This window comes from Homo sapiens, chromosome 17, assembly GCF_000001405.40.
Source record: "Homo sapiens chromosome 17, GRCh38.p14 Primary Assembly".
In the NCBI taxonomy this organism is placed as follows: domain Eukaryota; kingdom Metazoa; phylum Chordata; class Mammalia; order Primates; family Hominidae; genus Homo; species Homo sapiens.
This window is the reverse complement of record NC_000017.11, coordinates 5,393,611-5,412,522: the sequence shown is the minus strand read 5'-3', so window position 1 is coordinate 5,412,522 and position 18,912 is coordinate 5,393,611. Positions and strand designations below refer to the sequence as shown.

Genomic DNA, 18,912 nt, shown 5'->3' with positions numbered 1-18,912 from the left:
AGGGTGTGTGTTCCAAGACCCCCCAGTGAATGCCTGAAACTGTAGATAGTACTGAACGTGATACGTGTGTATTGCTATGTTTTTTCGATCTTATAACTGAGACAGCTACTAAGTGACTAAGGGGCATTCAGCTAGGAAATGCACCAGTCTCCCTTATTACAGGTACCTCCACATCTGGCTGTTTCCTAGAGCCTTCCCTGCCCACCCATTTGGCTTTAGAGTTCAGGGCAGAGAAAGAGGAGAGGGAAAATCTTCCCATTACAAACATTATACTGTACTCCTAAGGAATCTTTGACATCCTCTCTTCTTAGTCTTCCTTTTATATGCTATGATGGAAAAGGAGATGGTGGGAAGATAGCATAGGTACAGTTCTTAAGCCCCAAAGGAAGTATCTGGCCCCAAATATTGAAGGTTCTTTTTTAAAATATGTGGTATTTAACACTTCTGTTTTCCTAAGCTTTGGAGATTTTGGGCAGTTTCAGAGCAAAAGGAAATTTTCACCGAATGCCCTGTTGCACCTTCTTTTTCTTTCACTGTTCCCCAGTACAACATTATTGCCTAGTATTTATGTGTATTTTGAAGTTAGTAACGCTTGTAGGAACCTAGGAAGACTGTAATAAATGTGTATTCAAATGGATCAAGTTATCATTAAAAATTTATTAAATACTTAATGTGGCATTTTATTGATATTGGAAGAAACCAAGTTAAAAAATTCTTAGTGGCGTCAGACAAAATAAGTGATTATAAGGGACACTGGATTTCTAAAATGACATTACTGGCCTTTTGAAAATTCCCTTTTTCACAATAGCCTTATATGCTGTGAAATGTAGGTTACTTTAAATTAAAATAATTTTGGTTAAAAAAATTCAGTATTATACTTTCCCTTGAAAATAGAGATGATACGATACTGGGTTTGTTTGTTTGGTTTTTTTTTTTTTTTTTGAAATGGAGTCTCGCTCTGTCGCCCAGGCTGGAGTGCAGTGGCGTGATCTTGGCTCACTCCAGCCTCCAGCTCACCGCAACCTCCACCTCCCAGGTTCAAGTGATTCTCCTGCCTCAGCCTCCCGAGTAGCTGGGATTACAGGTGTGTGCCACCACACCCAAATAATTTTTGTATTTTTAGTAGAGACGGGGTTTCATCATGTTGGCCAGGCTGGTCACGAACTCCTGACCTCAAGTGATCTGCTCACCTCGGCCTCCCAAAGTGCTAGGATTACAGGTGTGAGCCACCGTGCTTGGCCAATATTGGGTTTTTATATAACAAACACATAAGTAGATTTGCAGGCTAAATATCACTCACTCTGTCAGCCAGTTGGCATATAAAGAATAAGATACAGTTCTTTCTCTGGTGGGATTTGGTGTCCAATAGGCAGAGATAGATGTGTGTAGTTGAAGGAAAACTGGCAAGCTTAGGGGCAATAGTGAGATGACTGGACAAGGCGAGTATAGCTAAGGGCTCAGGACGGAAGTGACAGAGGTGCGATGTTATGGAATAGGCTGTTAAAGGGTATTGGTAAGGATAGAGAACATTTCTTCAGGCCCCAATGAAACTCCCTTATGTAGTTAAAGAATAAATGAACTAGACTACTTTGCAACAGCAAGATTTTTGCAAAGAAATAGTTGTGATAAGTGTTAGAAAATTCTCAAGAACTGACTAGATGGAGAGGAAAGTGCAGTTTTGGGAAATGAAAACAGAATTTTAAGTGCTGGTTTTCTTCTCTTTTGGTTGCTAGAATTTACTCACTACGTGAGCCGCAGACACCCACTAACGTGATAATACTTTCAGAAGCCGAAGAGGAAAGTCTAGTACTCAATAAAGGGTAAGTTTTTATTTGAGTCTTGAAATGGTTTTTTAATTAGCTTATTGGGATTATAAATGCAATTTTAACAGGTTGCAAGGTTTTTCAGAGGTGACTAGCATGCTTTTGGTAATGTGAGAAGTAAGTGTATTTTTAGTAGAACAGGGATTCGTCGTGTTGGCCAGGCTGGTCTGGAACTCCTAGGCTCAAGTGATCCTGCTCGTCTCAGCCTCCCCAAAGTGCTGGAATTACAGGCCTGAGCCACCATTCATTTCTTTATCACCTTTCTATGTGATAAAGAAACTAAGATAATATCTTGCATTGATGTTTGCTCTCTCAACTATATGAAATTGTGATTTCATTTTAACCATATTTGTTAACTTTGTATTGAACTAGAATCTTCCTGAATAACTACAGTAAATTTTAAATATAAAAACAGCATGGTTTTATGATTTGCCTTCTTGATATACATGTAATGTATATTTGCTGTAGAAAATTGAGAAAAATAGATCAAAGTATTAGGAAGAAAATGAAAATCTTTGTAATCTCCTATAGCTATAGCCTGTTTCAATACAGCACCCAAAGTTTAATCACATCATTCTACTTTAATCTAAGTTTAATCAGATCAGTTTAATCAGATCATTCTACTTCCCTGCTCTCCATACCCCATTGATTTCCCAGAGTCTTTACCTATAAAGGGTCCACAGGTATGCCACCTGATTGCCTTTCCAGCTTCATTCCTCCCTCTGTGCCCTGGCTCTCTGGGCTCCAGGCACCTTGGCCTCCTTGCCATTCCACAGACATTAAGCACTTCTACCTTAGAGCATTTGCTCTCCACCTCAACTGCTCCTTCCCTAGTTAACCACAGACTTGCTCTCTTACTTCCTTCAGATCTTTGCTCAAATATCTTATCAGAGTCTTTCCTATACCAAGTAGTCTAAAGTAGCACCTCCATCAATACCCTCTTACCCTACTTTATTTTTCATGATATTTTCTGAGTTTATGTTCCATCTTTATTTCTTCTCTTTTTGTGGTATTTCTCTCTCTAGAGGGCAGGACATTTGTTTAATTCACTGACATATTCCCAGACCCTAGAAAAGTACCTGGCACAGAGTAGGTGCTTTGCGAGTATTTGTAGAACTTACGGATCCTGCTGCTCAGAGACAACTGTTGATGTTTTCATGTGTTTTCCTGTTTCCTTTTTGCATTTATGTGTGTGTATATAATAAATTTTTGCTATTTGTATATCTGTGTATTTAAACTATTTAAGATGAGAGTAGAACCAAATAATTTTATGGCCAGCTTTTTTCACTTAATTTCATGAGAATTTTTTTTTTTTTTTTTTTTTTGAGACGGAGTTTCGCTCTTGTCGCCCAGGCTGGAGTGCAATGGCACAATCTCGGCTCACTGCAACCTCCGCCTCCCAGGTTCAAGCAATTCTCCTGCCTTAGCCTCCCAAGTAGCTGGGACTACAGGCACCTGCCACCACGCCCAACTAATTTTTGTATTTTTAGTAGAAACGGGGTTTCACCATGTTGGCCAGGCTGGTCTCGAACTCCTGACCTCAGGTGATCCACCCACCTCGGCCTCCCAAATTGCTGGGATTACAGGCATGAGCCACTGCACCCAGCTGAGAATTTTTAAATGTTAACATTCTTCATAATCATTTTTTGTCTTTTCAGTCCATTGCCTACAAATTCCATACATACCCACCTCCTGTTATTAGACATTTTGTGTTTTTGTTTTGTTTTGTTTTTCTTTTTACTTTTTGTTGTTTTTGTTTTTAACAAGTTGGTTTTTACATCTCTTTCCAGAAGGGCGTATACCGCATCTCTAGGAGAGACAGCAGTTGCATTTGACTTTGGGCCATTGGCAGCAGTCCCAAAGACTCTATTTGGACAAAACGGCAAAGATGAAGTAGTGGCATACCCACTGTACATCTTATATGAAAATGGAGAGACTTTCCTGACATACATCAGTCTGTTACACAGGTAAGTTGAGGTGGTCACCCACCTGAAATGAAAACTCAGTTTGGGCTCCAGTAGATATCATTGAGGCTGGACTTGGGAGCCATGTTTTTGAGTCTGTGGAAATGTTGCAGCCTTCACATGCTTGGCTTGCATATTTTTGAGAAAGAGTTAGTACAGGTCATTTGGCCTTTCATTTCTTCATATTATTTGGGTAAGTTCTATAGAATTCTTGGATAATCACTTATGATAGGCCTGGATTTGTGTTCACAAATTCTAGTTATCCGAACAAGTGCTTATTGTTTATCTTATATGAACAAGACACCACGTAGGCGTGGTAATCTGGTATCTTATGTCCCAGTTGTGGGGAGAAAGATACATACACATGAAAAAATACTATCCATACCACAGTATTGGTACACAGACAGTAAGAACCCCGAGGAAGGAGAGATCATTCTGACTGGGAGGTTAAGGAAATTTTCGTAGAGAAGGAGTGGTGTCATGTGTGACTTAAAGGTCTCATTCAGGATTAAATGAAGTATCAAGGAAGAGTGAGACCATTTCTGTCAAGGGCAGCATAAAGTAGCGTCTGAAAATAAGCAAGTGCAAGTGTCATTCAAGCTTAATTTATTAGACATTCTGGGCTAGAGCTGAGGATTCATGTAGGGAGCATTAAGTGATAAAGCTGGAGTATCTGTCCCGAGAAAATTTGCTGGAATTAAAAATACCTCGTTAAAAGAGTGAGTGTGGGTTTTTTTTCTGTAGGAATAGGGTAGTAGGAAGCCAGTGATGGTTTCTGAACAGAAGGACAAAACAATTGGTTAGGGAGGGGACTGGGACAGAGACTTTTAAAGAAGCTTTTGCAAAATTGAGCTTGTCATTTATGAGAGTTTGAACTTGGGTGGTAATAGAACAGAGGGAAAAATGAAACACAGTAGATAACAACAAAGGAAGGATAAATAAGACTTAGTTACTGTTTGGATAAGGGAGTATGCCATGAACAGAAACAGGTCAGTAAAGGCTGCTAATTGGGGGAGAAGATTTATTTCTAAGTAAATCAGTGTAAGATAGTATTGGACCAATAAAATGGAAATATTCCATGGACAGTTGGAAATACAGGATGATGACAGACAAGAAGAATTAAAATAGAGGTATGAGAATCATCTTTCATGGTGAGAGAGTCTATACAGGATAAGAATTTGAGGGAAAACTGCAGAGGCATAAGGCTAAGGGCTGAGCATTAGAGTTTATTCGCTTGTAAATCGACTTAACAGATACTTATTCAGGACCCACTCTGGCAGAAGATGGAAATACAAGATTGAAGGCAAGGTTCCTGCCATGTGGTTCCTTAACTACCAGAAGGGCATACAACTAAACCAGTAACTATAGTACAGTGTCATGTGCTCAGGGCATCACCGGGTTCTTCAGGAGTGTGATGGAGTAAATGAGTAGGCCTGCTCATCTTGGAAGACTTTAAGGAAATGCTATTACAAAAGCTTGAACTTGAAGGATTCACTAGACAGAATCAGAAGTGGGTACAGGAGAGAGAAGAGAGTACGCAAAACCATAAAGATTAGAAAGATGAAAGAGCTCGGTAGGTTACAGAATGGTGAGGATTCACTGTTGAGTGCATTCTCCTTGGCAGAAATGTTCTCTGCCTTTCACACATGATCTCAGGAGGATTTTGTGGTAACTTTAGTACCTTCCCTTACCCTTTCTCCTCTTGCTGCTGAGCCCTCATTTGTCCAAACCATGATCTGCCTAGTAACGTTAGCCCAAAACCCAAAAGTTTTCTTCATCCTTACATTTCATCAGTCCCAAATTTCTATTGATTTTGTGATTTAAATTTTTCGAAAGTATACACCAAGCTTGTCCAACCCACGGGCTGCGCGCAGCCCAGGACAGCCTTGAATGCAGCCCAACGCAAATTTGTAAACTTTCTTAGAACATTATGATATTTGTTTGCGATTTTCTTTTCTTTTCTTTTTTTTTTAAAGCTCATCACGTATTGTTAGTGTATTTTCTGTGTGGCCCAAAACAATTGTTCCAGTGTGGCCCAGGGAAGCCAAAAGATTGGACACCCCTGATTATACACCCTTCTCTGCATTCCTCTGTCCCTGCTTCAGAACTGCATCATCTGCCTACTTCACCATCTGCCTGGCTTATTTTCTTAAATAGTTTCCCCAAATCCCATTTTGGACCCTTCCATGTCTTCCTCCCTAATACCAGACTGATTTGTAAAGTGAGGCTCCATCGCTTGATTTAAACCTCTAGTGATATACTGTTACCCGGCAGATAGATTTCAAATAGTTTAACATAGCACACAAGACTGTGTACTTCATAAGCCAGTCCTGGATGTCTGTCTAGCTATTTTGCCGTTGCCTTCCACCTTGTACTTTGCCTCCCATCATACTAAATAAGTTTTCTTGTTCTTAGTTCTTTGTCTTTCATGTTTCCAGGACTTTGCATAAACTGATCTCTAGCTTGGAATGCTCAACAATCCCCTTCCCAGAAATCATTCTTTCTCATTTTTCTCATTTATTTTTTATAGCTTTCTTCATTATCTTTGTATCTTTTTGTCATTCCTTTGTACACCATAAATCCTTCTGTTGTTGCACTTATCACATGGTATAGTAATTCTGGTTAAATGTCTGCCTCATCAACTAAACCATCATTCACTGGGAGTATCATCTAGCACTCAATAATAAGTATTTGTCAAATCAAATTTAATATGGGGATCCAAAGCCTTGAAGAGAAGCTACATTTTAGAAGAAAGGATTTGGTAGTCTTTGAATATAGATGGTAGTTAAAACGAGGCATAGTTTAACAGGCTCTCATTTAAGTGTGTATTTTGAAAAAAGTCAAAGCATACAACAGAATCCTGGAGAACACCAATATTTAAGAGACAGAAATTAGAAAAGGACGTTAGAAAATTGTGTTTAAAGAGGTAGGAAGAGAGAACTACAAGAAAGAATTGTTACAGCTGTTGAGTAGCAGTAGTCGTTAACCAGTGATAAATGCAGCAGAAGGTTAAGTGCATTTTGGATTTAGCAAATCTCACAGGTGACCTTTGCCACAGTAGCTTCAGTGGAGTGGTGAAAGCATAAACCATAGTAAATTTAGGGCAAGGGTTTTCAACCTTTGTACTATTGACATTTTGGTCTGAATTATTGTTTGTTTTAGAGGTGCTGTGCTGTGCGGGAATGTTTAGCGGCTTCTGTCTAGCCTCTAACCACTAGATGCTAATACCTCCCCCCACATTGTGACAACCAGTTGTGACAAGCCAAAATGTCTTCAGACATTGCCACTGTCCGCTAGGGCAAAATTATCTCTGGTTGAGAAACACAGAGTGGTGGGATCTGAGTGGGAAAGCGAGAAGATGGAGTATTGGGAATACACTACATTTATAATGAAGGTATGATAGCTGGAGGAAAACAAAGTCAAAGAATGGTTTTATGGGATGAGCATGCATACTGTCAACATTTCCCAAATATGTTTTTACTCCTTCTTTAGCCCTGGAAATATTGGAAAGCTGTTGGGTCCATTGCCCATGCATCCTGCGGCTGAAGATAACTATGGTTATGATGCGTGTGCTGTACTCTGCTTACCCTGTGTCCCCAATATCTTAGTGATCGCTACTGAATCAGGAATGCTGTATCACTGTGTCGTGCTAGAAGGGGAAGAAGAAGATGACCACACGGTAAGTGCAGGCTGCTGTGGTTGTTTGTATCTTCAACACCTGGCATAGTTCCTGACCCAATATGAATGCTTAATATATGAGAAGGAATTTTAACTTACTTATGGAACTTCTGATATTTTGGAAATTAAACAGTTAAAAAAGTAGCTGAAGCACACTTAGCAGTCTAAGTGGAAAGAAGTTAGAAGGTTGCCCAACTTACTTGGTCCACCAGTCTGCATGTTACTTTCTGGTCTCTATATTGCAATCTTCAGGGACAGATACAAAGAGCCTTGGAATCACTGAATTGGCTTTTTTCACAAACATCTTCCTAAAGGAAGAGAGACGTTTTGTCTTCAGAATAACAGTGCACTGTTAGGATAGAGGTGGAATTAAGAATTTGAAAGTACTGTTTGACCCAGCTTTTTTTTCAATTTTTTTATTTATTTTTTATTATTATTTTTTGGAGACAGAGTTTCGCTCTTGGTGCCCAGGCTGGAGTGCAATGGTGTGATCTCGGCTCACTGCAACCTCTGCCTCCTGAGTTCAAGCGATTCTCTTGCGTCAGCCTCCCCAGTAGCTGGGATTACAGGCACCCACCACCACGCCCGGCTGATTTCTTGTACTTTTAGTAGAGACAGGGTTTCAGTATGTTGGCCAGGCTGGTCTCGAACTCCTGACCTCAGATGATCCACCTGCCTCGGCCTCCCAAAGTGCTGGGATTACAGGCAAGAACAGCCGCACCCGGCCCTGACCCAGCTTTTTGCCTGTTTTTAATTGTGTACATTTTCAAATTAACATGCAAGATCAAAATTACAACACTTTTTTTTACAGTCAGAAAAGTCCTGGGATTCCAGGATTGACCTCATTCCTTCTCTGTATGTGTTTGAATGTGTTGAGTTGGAGCTTGCTTTGAAACTGGCATCTGGAGAGGATGACCCTTTTGATTCTGACTTTTCTTGTCCAGTCAAACTTCATAGAGGTAAGCTCTTCAATAAATGTAGTGCTTTTTTCCCATGATTTTTATACTAAGACTATCATAGACTGTTCCTATGTAATGTATTTGTTCTGTGGTTCCAGCCTTTAAAAAGTTGACTGGGTTTTTTTTAGCTTTTTAGTCACTATAGTACACTTTTTGTCTAAGGCAGACTGAGCAAATTTCCCAAGTTTTAAAATAGTGGTCTTTGGTCCAGATCACCAGATTCCTAATAGTGAATTTTTCCTGGTCCTTTCAAAAGTAGAACTACCATGTTATTCAGTAGTTCCACTACTGGGTATGTCAAAAGGAAAGGAAATAATAGGTTGAAGGGATACCTACACTCCCATGCCCATTGCAGTGTTATTCACAACAGCTAAGATGCTGAATCAACCTGTGTCCATCGACAGACCAAATGGATTTTGTTGTTGTTGTTGTTGTTGTTGAGATGGTGTCTGGCTCTGTCACCCAGGCTGGAGTCTAATGGCGCAATCTCGACTCACTGCAACCTCCATCTCCCAGGTTCAAGCGATTATTTTGCCTCAGCCTCCCAAGTAGCTGGATTGCAGGTACCCACCACCATGCCTGGCTAATTTTTATATTTTTATTTCATTTATTCATTTATTTTGAGATGGAGTCTCGCTCTGTTGCCCAGGCTGAAGTGCAGTGGCACCATCTCAGCTCACTGCAACCTCCGCCTCCTGGGTTCAAGCAATTCTTCTGCCTCAGCCTCCCTAGTAGCTGGGACTACAGGCATGTGCCACCACGCCCTGCTAATTTTTGTATTTTTAGTAGAGACGGGGGTCTCACCATATTGGCCAGGCTGGTATCGAACTCCTGACCTTGTGATCCGCCCACCTCGACCTCACAAAGTGCTGGGATTCCAGGCGTGAGCCACTACGCCTGGCAATTTTTGTATTTTTAGTAGAGGTGGGATTTCACCATGTTGGCCAGGCTGGTCTCAAACTCCTGGCCTCAAGCAGTCCACCTGCCTCGGCCTTCCAGAAGTACTGGGATAACAGATGTGAGCCACCGCGCACCTGGCCCCAAATGGATTTTTAAAATGTGGCATTGTATACACAGTGGAATACCATTTGGCTTTTGTGTGTGTGTGTGTGATATGATCTCACTGTGTCATCTAGGCTGGAGTACAGTGGCGTGATCTTGGCTCACTGCTTTGCCTCCCAGGCTCAAGCAATCCTCTCACCTCAGCCTCTGGAGTAGCTGGGACTACAGGTGTGCACCACCACGCCTAATTTTTGTATTTTTGGTAGATACGGGATTTTGCCATGTCGTCCAAGCTGAAAGTCCTGAGCTCCAGTGATCCTTCTGCCTCAGCCTCTCAAAGTGCTGGTCCACAGGTGTGAACCACCATGCCCAGCCCTATTTGGCTTTAAAAAAGAATGAAATCGTGTCATTCACTGCAACATAGGAGGATTTCAATCTTGTAGCAGTTTGACCTACTCTCCTTACAGTTCTTGTTAGCCAGTTTGCCTAGTTCTGGTAATAACGGCCTCAACTCTGTACTAAAGTATAGGCAAAACATTTAAGGGGGCAGAATTCCTTACATAACAAACCAGCAAAGAGTGTACATTGGGTTTGTCTAATTAAGGTATTTTGAGATTTATATTGTCTAAGAATTTTATAGATGAGGAAACAGACCAAATGAAGTAAAGTGACATAAACTAATTGGTTTCCTCATATAGATACGTATATCTTTGGGAAATCTTAAGTGTAGACGTGGACGTTTTGTTCTTGGGTTTTGTTTTTTGTATTTTGTTTTTTGTTTTTTTTTTTGAGATGGAGTTTTGCTCCTGTTGCCCAAGCTGGAGTGCAATGGCACGATCTTGGCTCACTTCAACCTCCGCCCCCTGGGTTCAAGCGATTCTCCTGCCTCAGCCTCCCAAATAGCTGGGATTATAGTCATGCGCCACCAGGCCTGGCTAATTTTTGTATTTTTAGTACAGATGGGGTTTCACCATGTTGGTCAGGCTGGTCTCGAACTCCTTATCTGTCCACCTTGGCCTCCCACAGTGCTGGGATTTTAGGCATAAACCACCATGCCCAGCCTTTTCTTGGTTCTTCTAATGAGAGTAACATTTTCATATGTGAAACTAAGAAATTTTTGACTTGTTCCTAATTGTGCTGAACAAGGCATATTATAATCACTGAGGCACACCAGATTTCTTAGTGACAAAGTGAAATGGCTACAGTATAGCATAGGGTGGTATCTAACAAATTTCCTGTTAAGTAAATGTTGGCTCTTTTTAGTAATCAATTTGTTTTACACCCCAGTGTTAAGACTTTTCTGTTGATGTTAGCACTACAGGTTTTGAAAAGCCATTTTAACAATGTTAGATTTAATGAGATGATTTGAGCCTTAAGTCTTAAAACATACGCAAATGAAAAGAAAATTTTCAATATTTTAATTATGCAAACAGATGATTCCCATAGATGAGGGTTTTTTAAACTTTTTATAGCAGAATGCTGTTTTCTAAGATGTTTTATGGAACCTCAATATATAAGACAGAAAAATAATATATCAGCTTTAGAATATTAATTTATGATAAAGTCACTAACCACAAAGTGAGACTGTTAGATTAAAGGAAAATTTAATTTAGGGGTTTTATGGGTTATTGTTGCCATTTTATCAGCTTTAATATATACCTTATCTCTGTATTTTGTTTTAGTTTAATAACATTATTATTTTGTGTTTTTTTTTGAGACGGAGTTTCGCTCTTGTTGCCCAGGCTGGAGTGCAGTGGTACAACTCGGCTCACCGCAACCTCCACCTCCCAGGTTCGAGCGATTCTTCTGCCTCAGCCTCCCGAGTAGCTGGGATTGCAGGCATGTGCCGCCACGCCTGGCTAATTTTGTATTTTTAGTAGAGACGGGGTTTCTCCATGTTGGTCAGGTTGGTCTTGAACTCCTGGCCTGAGGTGATCCGCCCACCTTGGCCTCCCAAAGGGCTGGGATTACAGGCGTGAGCCACCACACCCGGCCAATAAGATTATTATTAATATTAATAATAAAAATATTGAGTTACAGAGATAAATATTTATACATAATAATAGGTATTCAGTAGTTTATCTTTTAGTCTCAGGATTGTCTTACTGATACTGGGGCTCAAAGGAGGTACAGAAATTTTTGTTTCAAAATCAGTTAATTAAAATTGTATAACAACTACTCATACTTCTTAGTTATAAATGATTGTCAAACAAAAAGAGCATCCAAAACTGAAAATAACCTTTGAAACTATCTGTAAGTCAACATTATGAAGACATACGAAACTTCACTTCTCATTTCACACCTTACTACACTGATAGAACTGTTCCCTGAGCCGTTGTGTTAAAGTCTTTTGTGATAACTATGCTGTAGAAGTGCATTTGCTTCAACAATTTTATTTAAGTCGATGTATGCAAGCATAAGCATAGGTTTTCTACAGAGCTGCTATTTTAACCACCATTTTCTTTTGAAGAACTAAATAAATGCACAGAGAAAAGCATAAATGAGTTACTTGCCAGCAAGTATTTATGTTTTGGTGAACCTCATTGTGTTCATATTTAGAAAATAACATTTGGATTGAGTTTTTTTTTTTTTTTTTTTTTTTTGAGACGGAGTTTCACTCTCGCCCACGCTGGATTGCAGTGGCGCAATCTCGGCTCACTGCAACCTCCACCTCCCGGGTTCAAGTGATTCTCCTGCCTCAGCCTCCCGAGTAGCTGGGATCACAGGTGCATGCCACCACGGCCAGCTAATTTTTGTATTTTAGTAGAGACGGGTTTTCACCATGTTGATCAGGCTGGTCTCGAACTCCTGACCTTGTGATCCTCCCACCTCGGCCTCCCAAAGTGCTGGGATTACAGACGTGAGCCACCACACCCAGCCATTTTTTATACTTTTTAAAACATAGGCATACCTCCTCATTTTATTGTGGTTCACAGTGCTTTTTTTTTTTTTTTTTAACAAATGAAAGATGTGGCAACCCTGCATCAAGCAAGTCTATCGGCACCATTTTTCAAACAGCACGTGCTGTCTCTGTGTCAGCATTTTTTAGCAATAAAAAATGGTTAAGGTATGTACATATTTTTTGACGTAACACTATTGCGTACCTACTAGTATAAACATAACTTTCTGCATAGTGTAAACATAACGTTCTTATGTACTGGGAGACCAAAAGATTTGTGTGACTCACTTTATTTCTGTATTCGCTTTATTGCAATGGTCTGGAACCAAACCCACAGTATCTCTGAGGTATATCTGTACTTAAAATATATTTGAAATTTGAATTCAAATTTTAAAATTTCAAAACCCCTAACAATATGAAAGTCTTTTATAAAACCTTCCATCAACAAATGCGTTTGTAGGCTAATGTGGAGTAGCCAACAAATTTGAGGTAAATTTTTTTAGTTATCCACTGGCTACCTTTGTATCATTAATCATTCCATTTGCAGATCCCAAGTGTCCTTCAAGATATCACTGTACTCATGAAGCTGGTGTACATAGTGTTGGGCTAACTTGGATTCATAAACTTCACAAATTTCTTGGATCAGGTGAGTTTACTAACTCTCTGCACTTTTAATAGATTTCAGAGGAAAAATAGATTTAATAGATTTCAGAAAAGTAGTTTGGAATAGAAAAATGATAGAGAAAATCAGTGAAACCGAAAGGTTCTTTGAAAAGATCAACCACATTTCACAAGCCTTTAGCTAGACTAACTATAATCAAGAATAAAAGCAGGGATATTACTATTGACCTTACAGAAATAAAAGATTATAAAGGAATATTATGAACAAATGTATGCCATTTACATAATCTAGATGGAATGGACAAATTCCAAGAAAAAAAAAAACTACCAAAACTGACTCAATCAGGGTCTGGGATAATTTGCTTTAAAAAAAAAAAAAAAAAAAAGGCCGGGTGCGGTGGCTCACGCCTGTAGTCGCAGCACTTTGGGAGGCCGAGGTGGGTGGATCACAAAATCAGGAGATTGAGACCATCCTGGCTAACATGGTGAAACCCCATCTCTACTAAAAATACAAAAATAAATTCTCCGGGCGTGGTGGCGGGCGCCTGTAGTCCCAGCTACTCGGGAGACTGAGGCAGGAGAATGGTGTGAACCTGGGAGGCGGAGCTTGCAGTGAGCCAAGATCACGCCACTGCACTCCAGCCTGGGCAACAGAGCGAGACTCCGTCTCAAAAAAAAAAAAAAAAGGCTGGGTGCAGTGGCTCATGCCTTTAATCCCAGCACTTTGGGAGGCCAAGGCGGGCGGATCATGAGGTCAAGAGATTGAGACCATCCTGGCCAACCAACATGGTGAAACCCTGTCTCTACTTAAAATACAAAAATTAGCTGGGTGTGGTGGCACACACCTGTAGTCCCAGCTACTCGGAAGGCTGAGGTAGGAGAGTCGCTTGAACCAGGGATGGAGGTTGCAGTGAGCCGAGGTCATGCCACTGCACTCCAGCCCAGGCGACAGAGCGAGACTCTGTCTCAAAAAAAAAAAAAAGTTAGGCCAGGCACAGTGGCTCACGCCTGTAATCCCAGCACTTTGGGAGGCCAAGGCTTGTGGATCACCCGAGGTCAGGGGAGTTTGCGAACAGTCTAGTCAACATGGCGAAACCCCGTCTCTACTAAAAATACAAAAATTAGCCAGGCATGGTGGTGTGCGCCTATAATCCCTGCTACTCTGGAGGCTGAGGCAGGAGAATCGCTTGAACCCAGGAGGCGGAGTTGCAGTGAGCCGATATCGTGCCACAGCACTCCAGCCTGGGTGACAGAGCAAGACTCCGTCTCAAAACAAACAAACAAAAACTGACACAAAGAGATTGATTAGTAATCAAAACTATCCAAAAAGAAAAGCTGAGGACCACATGGATTCACATTTAAAGAATTAATACCGGTCAGGTGCAGTGGCCTACGCCTATAATCCCAGCACTTTGGAGGCCGAGGCACTTGAGGTTAGGACTTCAAGACCAACCTGGTCAAAATGGTGAAACCCTGTCTCTACTAAAAAAAAAAATACAAAAATTAGCCAGGCATAGTGGCGGATGCCTGTAATCCCAGCTACTCGGGAGGCTGAGACAGGAGAATCGCTTGAACCTGGGAGGTAGAGACTGCTGTATTCGAGTCGAGATCACACCACTGCACTCCAGCCTGGGTGACAGAGCAAGACTCCATCTCAAAAATGAAAATAAAAAATAAATTAAAAAAAAGAATTAATACCAATTATTCACAGAGTGAGAGCAGTTAAAAAAAATCTAGCAGCCTTTCATGTTAAAAATACTCAACAAACTTAATAGAAAGGAACTTCCTCAAACTAGTGAGGAAACTTTTCATCTACAAAAAACTTGGAACCAACACAATGCTTAATGGTAAAAAGACTGAATCCGTTATTGGCTTTCTACTGCTACTGTTGTAAATCATCACAGACTTAGTGGCTTAAAACATGACAAATTTGTTATCTTATAGTTTTGTAGGTTAGAAGTCCTGCATGGTTCTCACTGGGCTTAAGTTGGCACAGCAGTTTTCCTTTCTGAAAGCTCTAGGGTAGAATGCATTTCCTACCCTTTTTCAGCTCCTGCCACATTCCTTGGCTTGTAGTCTCTTCCTCTATCTTCAAAGGCAGCCAGCAACAGTGGGCTGGGTTGAGTCCTCATGTTGTATCACTCTGTTTCACTTTTAAAGAAACTTGTGGTAACATTAAGTCTGCCCGGATAATCCAAGGTAATGTCCCTATTTAAAAAAAAAAAATTCTTTTAAGAGACAGAGGGTCTCACTCTGTTGTCTGGGTGGGAGTGCAGTGGTGCAGTCATTGGTTGCTGCAGTCTCGAACTCCTGGGCTCAAGCAGTGCTCCTGCCTCAGCCCCCAAAGTATCTGGGACTACAGGAGTGAGCCACCATGCCCAGCTAATTTTTGTGTTTTTTGTAGAGATGGGGTTTTACCGTGTTGCCCAGGCTGGTCTCAAACTCGTGGGCTCAAATGATCCACCCACCTCAGCCTCCCAAAGTGCTAGGATTACAGGTGTGATCCACCGCACCTGGCCATCAAAATTTAAATCTTTTTTCTTCAAGAATACTATTACAAAAGGGAAAACAGCCCACAAAATGAGAGAAAATATTTGTGTGATAATGGACTCGTATGGAGAACAATATAAAGAACCCTTAGCATTTGATACAGTTGGGCAAATAGCATATATATAAAAAGATGTACAACATTATTAGTCATTATGGAAATAAGATACCACAAAACCACAATGAGGTATCACGTCATATCCACTAGTATAGCTAAAATGAAAAAGATGGACATTAACAAGTGTTGAGGATGTGGGAAAAAATGGGGACTTTTATACAGTGCTTATAGAAATGTAAAATGGTACAGTCTTTGGAAAACAATCTGGCAGTTCCTCAAATGATTATTCATAGAGTTACCATGTACCTGATAGTCCAGTCCTGAGTATATTTCCAAGAGAAATGAAGACCTGTATCCACACAAATACTGGTACATGAGTGTTCACAGCAGCATTATTCATCATAGCCCAGAAGCCACATACCCAAGTGTCCATAAGCTGATGAATGGATAGATAAAATGTGGTGTGTCTATACAACAGAGTATTATTCAACAATGAAAAGGAATGAAGTACTGATACATGCTCCAATATGGATGAACTGTGAACAGATGCTAAGTGAAAGAAGCCAGTTACAAACAACTGTATGGCTGTTTATATGAGATGTCCAGAATAGACAAATGTACAGAGACAGAAAGTAGATTAGTTGCCTAGGTCTGGGAAGTTTGGTAGAAACTGAGGAGTGATTGCTAATGGTTATGTGGGTTTCTTTTGGGGAAATGAAAATATTCCAAATTGTTAATGATAGGTATACAATTTTTTTTTTAGACGGAGTTTCACTCTTGTTGCCCAGGCTGGGGTGCAATGGCATGATCTTGGCTCACCACAACCTCCACCTCCTGGGTTCAAGCGATTCACCTGCCTCAGCCTCTCGAGTAGCTGGGATTACAGGTGCCCACCACCACGTCCAGCTAATTTTTGTGTTTTTAGTAGAGACGGCGTCTCGCTATGTTGGCCAGGCTGGTCTTGAACTCCTGACCTCGGGTGATCCACCCACCTTGGCCTCCGAAAGTGCTGGGAATTACAGGCATGAGCCACCGCACCCTGCCAGGTATACAATTCTTACACTAAAAACTTACTGAATTGTATACTTTAATGGGTATACTTTAAATGGATGACTTGTATGGTACTGTGAATTACGTTTCAAAAAGCTGTTACAGGCCAGGCGTGGTGGTTCACACCTGTAATCCCAGCACTTTGGGAGGCTGAGGCAGGTAGATCACCTGAGTTCAGGAGTTCGAGACCAGTCTGGCCAATACCGTGAAACCCTGTCTACTACTAAAACCTGGGCGTGGTGGCGTCCACCTGTAGTCCCAGCTACTCAGGAGGCTGACGCAGGAGAATCACTTAAACCCAGAAGCCGGAGGTTGCATTGAGCAGAGATTGGGCCACTGCGCTCCAGCCTGGGCAACAGAGGGAGACTCCATCCAAAAAAAAATAAAGCTGTTATAAATTGAGTATCCCTACTCTGAAAAATTTGAAATCCAAAACTTTTCTTTTTTCCATCCTTGAACCTGAGTGAGCTACAAAAGTTTTTGAGTGCTGTCATGACAACAGAAATGCTCATTGGAGCATTTAGGATTTTAGATTTTCAGATAAGAGATGTTCAACTACTAAGTATAATGCACATATTCCAAAATCCAAAAAAAAAATGTGAAATCCAAAACACTTCTGATCCCAAGCATTTTGGATAAAGGATACTCAACCTTTATGAAAATAAAATCAGTGTGGGTAAGCAGCACCCTAGAAGAGAATGATTTCACTGTTCTTAGTGAAACATTTTTGCATTCAGAGACATTACGAAGGAAAATCCTACTTCTTGGGGCGGAAATCTAGACCCCCTGGGAAAGCGTATGCCTATGTCAGAAAAGCATAGTACTTGAGAAGCAATGTTTTCAGACAAGAACCTCACTGCATTTAACCCAATATCATTAGCATTTTAATTTGGAGACTTGTCTAAGCATCATTTCATTTATGTAATGTCTTCCATGGTAGATGAAGAAGATAAGGATAGTTTACAGGAACTCTCTACAGAACAGAAATGCTTTGTTGAACACATCCTTTGTACGAAGCCATTGCCCTGCAGGTAAGGACTCTCCCTCCCTTGTATATCAGAAAACAATTGTTCATTTCAGCAGTTCAGATACGTTTGTATCCGTTACACTCACATCCACAGTATTCACTGCTGAGTCATTTGAAAGTTGCAGACGTGATACTTCTCCCCTAAGAGTGTCCTGCTCATCAGAAGCTTTCTCCTCTCCAGGGCCACTCGACATACTGTTTCCTGACTGGAAGGTCCTTCCCCAGCCCCAGCCCCAGCCCCAGCTTGCTGTCTTCTCTTGGCTAACTCCTACCCTTCTTTCTGATCTTAATGTCACTTCTTCACAGAGAACACCCTTGACTCCCCAGTCTAACTTGGGGCTCTCCTATTCTCTTATCCATTGTAGCACATATTACACTATTTATATTTGCATTTTTTTAATGTCTGTCGCCACTACCGGAATGTATATGTTTCATGAGAGCAGAGACTGTGTCTGCCCTTCACTGCATTGCTGTGTTTATTTGATGTGGTTGCCCATGTCTCCTCTTTGAAACACATTCTCCTTGGCATCCTTGACGTCTGTCCCTCCAGGTTCTCCTTCAGTCCCGCCAGCAGCCCTTTTCTCAAGTTTCCTTCTTGGGCGGGTTCCTCTGCCTCTACTCACTGCTTATAAGTAATGCTCACAACTCTTTCCTTGGGTCTTCTCTATTCTTTCTAGGTCCTTTCCTGAGTAACTTCTGCCGTAATCATGGCTTCAGTGCTGACAGTTCCCGCATCCATATCGCCCTAGCCCAGACCACTCTGAACTCCAGATTCACATACCCAGCTGCCTACTGGGCTCCTCCACTTGGATATCCTATAGGAACATAAAACTCCAGATGTCCCCTTAACTCATCTTCTGTCTTTCCAAATCTGCTCTCTCTCCTGTGTCCCATTTTTCTGAAGGGTGCCATATCACCCCAGTTATCCCCAGTAGAAACCTGGAAGGTATTCTAGATACCTCCCTTTATTCTGTTCATCAATTACTAGATATCTCATAAGCACTCTGTTAGACATGGAGTATACACAGACATGAGACAAATAGCATACACTAAGAAATAGACATAATCTAGGTTTGGCAATACAGAGGACCACAGGGAAAACGCTTGGTGGGGAATGAGAAGGATAGCAAACTGTACCAGCTTGAAAAGTGAACAGTGAAACCAGGCACTGTGGCTTACGCCTATAATCCCAGCATTTTGGGAGATCGAGGTGGGTGGATCACACGGTCAGGAGTGCAAGACCAGCCTGGCCAAGATGGTGAAACCCCATCTCTGCTAAAAACT

The 18,912-nt window shown here is 41.1% G+C and overlaps 1 protein-coding gene across 3 annotated transcripts in view; it reads left to right on the top strand.

Moving 5' to 3' along the window:
* NUP88 (nucleoporin 88) overlaps positions 1-18,912 on the top strand; it is a 34,830-nt gene that overhangs the window by 7,140 nt on the left and 8,778 nt on the right. For all 3 annotated transcript variants that reach the window (NM_002532.6, NM_001320653.2, XM_047436155.1), the window contains exons 4-9: positions 1,734-1,820; positions 3,614-3,790; positions 7,280-7,466; positions 8,277-8,424; positions 12,873-12,971; positions 17,542-17,632. In NM_002532.6, the coding sequence (NP_002523.2) occupies positions 1,734-1,820; positions 3,614-3,790; positions 7,280-7,466; positions 8,277-8,424; positions 12,873-12,971; positions 17,542-17,632 (789 nt within the window). The remainder of the gene's footprint in view (positions 1-1,733; positions 1,821-3,613; positions 3,791-7,279; positions 7,467-8,276; positions 8,425-12,872; positions 12,972-17,541; positions 17,633-18,912) is intronic.